The 6,218-nt window shown below is 44.1% G+C and overlaps 1 long non-coding RNA gene across 1 annotated transcript; it reads right to left on the bottom strand.

Moving 5' to 3' along the window:
• Positions 1-423: 423 nt before the first annotated feature.
• Positions 424-4,933, bottom strand: LINC02526 (long intergenic non-protein coding RNA 2526). Its single transcript, NR_149100.1, has 3 exons — positions 4,744-4,933; positions 4,018-4,143; positions 424-576 (listed from the first exon to the last, which is right to left on the bottom strand). It is a non-coding gene; the product is annotated as a long intergenic non-protein coding RNA 2526 (long non-coding RNA).
• Positions 4,934-6,218: the final 1,285 nt, after the last annotated feature.

The raw sequence follows: 6,218 nt of genomic DNA, 5'->3' as shown, positions 1-6,218 counted from the left end.
ATGCCAAGGTGCCATATTTGGGGCCAGTGTGTCCTGAACCCCATCACAGGCAATCACAGGGCAGGTAGGCTTATCTAAAGATGTTCTCTCCTTTCCCTCACAATTAGTGTCTTGATGTCAGCTCCTTGATACTGAGCCTGGCTGAGCTTCGGAAGAAAAGCAGACCCCCAGACCCAGGACCCCCATGGTCTCCTGCTGCATTGAGAAAGATTAATGGTTAAAAAATAGATGAAAAGATTCTCTTCATACCTTCCTACCATATCAGAGAGGCCTGAGCCTAAAAACCCTGGCCCCAACCCTGGGGTATGGTTTACAAGACCAGCCAGAGACCTTACCAGACCTCCTCATCCTCTGCTGTCCCAATGGCACTTCCAATGAATTTTTTTTTTAGCTAGCAATTGAATGTGATATTTTGCAAAGCACTGTGGTTTTTCAAACTTTATTTCAAGGGGTCTAGAAAATATTTTTATTTTCAGTTTTCTTTTTCCACTGTCTTTCTTCTCCGCTTGATTCACTTGATTTCCTTCTTAGTATTTTGTCCGTGAAATTCGTCAGTATTGTTCCTTGGATTAATATCTGAAATACAAAATGCAATCTTGTTTGGAAAATTAAAAGAAAACTATAAGTGTAGGTAATGGGGCTTGAGGAGCAGCGGGAGAGAAGAGGGGTAGCTGCAGGGGCTGGAGGGCCATAGTCCAGTGAGAATGGCAAATGATTTGATATAATTTCAAGACTAAAAAAATATAGATTTTTACCATCCTAAATCCATTTAACTGCTCAAATGATTATTGCTCCCCTGGTGTTTATAAAAAACATTGCAATGAAAGGAGACAGACTTACACAGACTTAAAGAGTTTTTAGAAACCATTAAACCCACTAAGTCTGTTTTTTTTTTTTTTTTTTCCCGATTGTTATGAATCCTAACTTAACCATTTCACTGTCTGCAGAAAAGGGACAGTGGCATTCTGTGGTCAAAGGGGTGGCTCTGGACACCACCTCTACATTCCTAGCTGTGCCAACAACTCTGTAGGTGATCAAGGGCAAGTCACCTCACCTTGCCAAGCCCGTTTCCTCCTTTTAAAATGGGAGGTCGGCCAGGCACGGTGGCTCATGCTTGTATCCCAGCACTTTGGGAGGCCGACGCGTGTGGATCACCTGAGGTCAGGAGTTCGAGACCAGCCTGGCCAACATGGTGAAACCCTGTCTCTACTAAAAATACAAAAATTAGCCGGGCATGGTGGCACACACCTGTAATCCCAGCTACTTGGGAGGCTGAGGCAGGAGAATTGCTTGGACCCGGGAGGCAGAGGCTGCAGTGAGCTGAGATCATGCCATTGCACTCTAGCCTGGGCAACAGAGCGAGATTTTGTCTCAAAAATAAATAAATAGGCTGGGCGCAGTGGTTCACACCTGTAATCCCAGCACTTTTGGAGGCCGAGCCCAGTGAATCACCTGAGGTTGGGAGTTTGAGACCAGCCTAACCAACACAGTGAAACCCCGTCTCTACTAAAAATAGAAAAAATTAGCCAGGCGTGGTGGCGCATGCCTGTAATCCCAGCTACTCGGGAGGCTGAGGCAGGAAAATCACTTGAACCTGGGAGGTGGAGAGCCAAGATCGCGCCACTGCACTCCAGCCTGCACAACAAGAGTGAAACTCCATCTCAAAAAAAAATAATAATAATAATAAATAAATAAATAAAAATAAAAAGTAAAATGGGGGATCATTCACAATTGTTCTCAGGGTATTGTCAGGATTAAATGAAACAATGTGTGATAAGCCCTCACTAAAAAGTCTGTCATATGGTGAATGCTCAATACATTTTATTTTGGAATGCTACATGAATAGAATTACTGCAAGTAAACCAAGATTCAGTCATTGGCAGAGAGTTGCATGAAAGCCCTGCAAGAGATGGAGATTGTAGGGGGAAAGTTCCCTGTAGGCCTTTTGCTCCATGTATTGAACACAGCAGATGTCAACCTGGAGTGATTTGCTCCCCAGGGGACATTTTCACACTAGTGTGTGTGTTGGTGGGAGTGGGAAGTGCTACTGGCATCTACTGGGTAGGGCCAGAGATGCTGCTTAACATCCTACATTGCACAGGACAGTCCCTGCAACAGAGTTATCTGGCCTCAAACGCCAACCGTGCAGAGGTGAGGACTAGCACAAGAGAACTAGCACAGTCCCTTTAGCCTCTTAGCTCCAGGAGTAATGCTTTCCTTTATGGCTAAAAAAAAAGTTGTAAATGGAGTTGAAACCTCCCTTGCAAAGATAATGACAATGAGAGAAGTCTAGCATGCCACCTCCATCTTGCTTCTAGACTCACAGGCTGGCTATCCTTGCTTAGTTGTGGGCACAGGCCAGGCTAACCACGGGAAGAATTTAGTTTATAATTTAACTTTGAAGCAAGGATGATAACAGTTCCTTCCTTAAACTGATCCCCTCCTTGTTCCGGGGCTGAAACCATCTTTGGTAAGACTAATGAAAGACCACAAGATTAGGATTATGAAGTTGAAACATTTCAAAATGATACAAAAATTGAATAGCCTTCTTGGTTTGGGGAGGGGGCGATGGCAGTATACAGAATACACTGACCTTGCCACTTTATGAGCAAAAGGTAGTTGTGGCTTACAAAAAAATGTTTCATAATATCCACAGGAAGTGAATAAAGATTCCCCTGCTGTCCCATTTGAATGCTATGCCACAGTTAGGAAGGTCAAAAAGTTTGATTATATGGCCACCTTTGTGGTAAGAATAGAGGTTCCAGTAAACTTCATAAAGTTGGTAGAAGTGGGTTCCATAAAATGTTTCAAAGTTGGAATGCCCCTCAGAGCACTGAAAATTTTGGTCATAGAGGGGAAACATCTGCAAGCACATGACTTTATGATGAGCATTATATTTTTCATGATCAGCATTATATTTTGAAGAGCTCCCCAACTGACCATGATATAATAACGATGTCTATCTTCAAAACACTTAGCACTAGAGAGAGACTTTAATGGAACCTGAAGACCTGTACAGCCAGAAAGAAATCTCCTTGACATCCACATGAGTGAAAAAGACAGCATGGAATAATGCTCAGTGTTGGGGAGAGCACTGATCCAGGAACCTGAAGATCCGACCAGCTTCTGACCGACTACATATGTGATCTCGGGCAGTCATCAAGCCCTTTAGTTCAGTCCCGTCAGTAAAATGAGGATGGATGTTGGCATCTGCTCTGTGTACCCCAGTGGGCTGTGAACATTTGCGAAAGCTTCACGAATCACTGACTAAACAACCAGTGTCTTACTATTCTTGTCAAAAGGTAATGAGAGTTAGAATCAAATTGTATCCTATTAAGGAAATATGTTTATAACCAAATTATTTCCTAAGAACTTCATGTTTCCTGGCATAGTCTTTCATTTCTCTCCTAACATAAAATCTGTCAGGAAATCTATGTTTCACTGGGTAGAAAGCTGCATATCCAGTAAACATATTTTATAATGTCTTATTTTATGGCCATCTCCTCTGGTCATCTAGACAGGATCTTTTGGAGGCGACCCTAGCCAGAAATCTTTTCATGGCAATGGAGAGAAACCCATCCAAGTTAGTACAAATGAAAGCTTGTTACAAAAACTAAATAGAAAGCAGCAGGTCATCTCACATGCATCCCAATCAAAGTAGAACCACTCTTCATATAAATCTCATCCCAAACCCACAAATGACAAAATCATCCCAGTCAATTCCCCCAAGCCCATATGACCTTACTGCTCCAGTACTCATCACTGATGTACTACAATTTCTTTCTTTTTTCTTTTTCTTTTTTTGAGATGTAGTCTTGCTCTGTCGCCCAGGCTGGAGTGCAGTGGCGCGATCTCAGCTCACTGCAACCTCCACCTCCTGGGTTCAAGCGATTCTCCTACCTCAGCTGCCTGAGTAGCTGGGATTACAGGCAGGCGCCATCATGCCTGGCTAATTTTTGTATTTTTAGTAGAGACAGGGTTTCACCATGTTGGTCAGGCTGGTCTGGAACTTCTCACCTCGTGATCCGCCCGCATCGGCTTCCCAAAGGGCTGGGTTTACAGGCATGAGCCACCACACCTGGCTGATATACTATAATTTCTGCATCTCTTAGTTTAACCTCTGTCCTTCCTTTATCTTCTTGCCTGCAAAACAGATGCCATTCTGTTGTCTCCACATCAGCTTCCTTTTTAGCACTTCAAGTTCAAAGTGCATATCACCAAAGCAATAGAGGGACAAGGACATTGGGAAGGGTACTTATACAGAACCACCTTTGGATAGGGTGCTTAACCGCTCAGTGCCGCAGTTTCCTCATCTGTAAAATAGGAATAACATTATTCCCAGCCACAGTGCCTGATCCATGATGCTCAGCATTGGCCATTGTCATTATTAATTTTAGGGATAGGTAAATGTATGAAACTGACCAAAAGCAGGCATAGAACTGCATAATCCAAACTACCAAATTCTAAAATAAGATGAGCTGTATTGAGCTTGTCAGGTACGTTTCCAATGTAGGTGACTTGGCCTCCGTCTTGAAGGAAGTGATGGAAATGACTTGGTGGAGAGAGGTGTTTTGGTTTTCAATGGCTATGTAACAACTCATCCCAAAATATAGTGGCTTAAAACAATAGTAATTATTTATTTACTCACAATTCTGCAATTGGGCAGGGCTTGGCAGGAATGGCTCACCTCTGCTGTACATGGCATCTATGAGCTGGACCATCCAAGGTGGACTTTTTACTTACATGATGGCATATCAGGTAACAGCTGGCCAGGCATCTCTTTCTGTGTGATCTCTCCACCTGGCTAGCTTGGGTTTTCTGTCATCATGACAGTCTCAGCATAGTCCGACTTCTTACAATGTGGCCAGCTTCCCCTAAATACAAGAGGAGAAGCTTCCTGATCTTGGTGCCTGGACTCAGGAGTCCCAGAAATAATTTTCACCACATTGTATGCATTGCTCAAAACAGTCACAGGGCCAGCCCAGCTTCAAGAGGAGAAGACTGTACAAGCGCATGAGTCTCAGGAGGTGTGGCTTACTGGGCTGCCCATGAAAGAGACGATGACAGGAGGTTAACACAGAAGCTTAGCTGCAGGAGATGGTACATGTGAAAATCAAAGCAAAGAAAACACACCAGGATCAGCCAAGATGAGCATGAGAATTGTGAAAAAGACTGCCCTGGCTGTTGTTTTGAGGGGTAGAAATAGAATCTGAGGGTTTATTCGAATCTAAGAGAGTTCTATCGTATCCCCTGTACTATAAGATTTAAAGGTTCAAACTATGAAGTAACAGAAACCCCCACAAGTGTCCCTGGAAGCCATTGTCTTTTGGGAATTTGAATGTCTTCTTTCAACTCTAGGTCAAATTTATCTGTTGAACTCCTGTCAGTTTTTTAAACTGGGAGGCTCAGGAGCAGATACCAAGAGTCATAAAGGCCCTGGGTCAGGCCTCTAATAGGAAGTTCATTTCCATGGTCTCATTTTTTTCTTTTACTGTCTAGTACAGTACTTTTCCTATATAGTCTTTCCCTCTATTTCTCTGTCTCCTGAAGCAGTAAAACCCTTAGTTTTCTATGGGCTGATTATCTTCCATAGGTATAGATCTAGAACACTTCCCAAGGAAACAGCTCTGGGCTTGATTGATCCAGGGTGCTGTTTGGGGAGCTGCTCTCTGCCCCATGGTGTGGGTGTATGGCGTGGGTATAGGGGAAGATCTGAGGTAGGTGAAGGGGTAAGGGGAGTGGTATTCAGTGTGACTGCTGATCTGGGGCTTGCAATGTATGCACCAGTGCTTCTTTCTCCTGGCCGAGAAATAGCGAGCTTAGGCCTGCCTCCAAGAGTCACTTCTCTCCCCTAGAGGGCTGGCGGAGCCTGATACCAGCAAGGCGTGCCCGCCACAGAGAAGGCATCACAGCTACATGTTAATTAACCAAGAGGACATGGTCCAACCTCACATCTCATTGTCAGAAAACGTTTTTACCAGAGGAAGCCATGCCAGGAGCCCAGCATTTGTGCTGAGCTGCGACCTGCCCTGCAGTTACAGCTGAGAGAAGGTCAAGTCTTCCTCTTCCTTAGCCCCTGCCTCCTCTTGTCTCTGCCTTCTAAGGGAACTACTGCCTCACTCCACTCCTGCCTCTTAGCCCTCCAGAGAGTCCATCCCCTCTCCTCCTTTCCTCATTCTAATCACCAAACATCTCTATGGTGCCTTCAGAATGTGAGA

Source organism: Homo sapiens, chromosome 6 (assembly GCF_000001405.40).
Source record: "Homo sapiens chromosome 6, GRCh38.p14 Primary Assembly".
NCBI lineage: Eukaryota > Metazoa > Chordata > Mammalia > Primates > Hominidae > Homo > Homo sapiens.
Note: the sequence above shows the minus strand (reverse complement) of the source record. Positions and strands in the feature narration are given on the sequence as shown.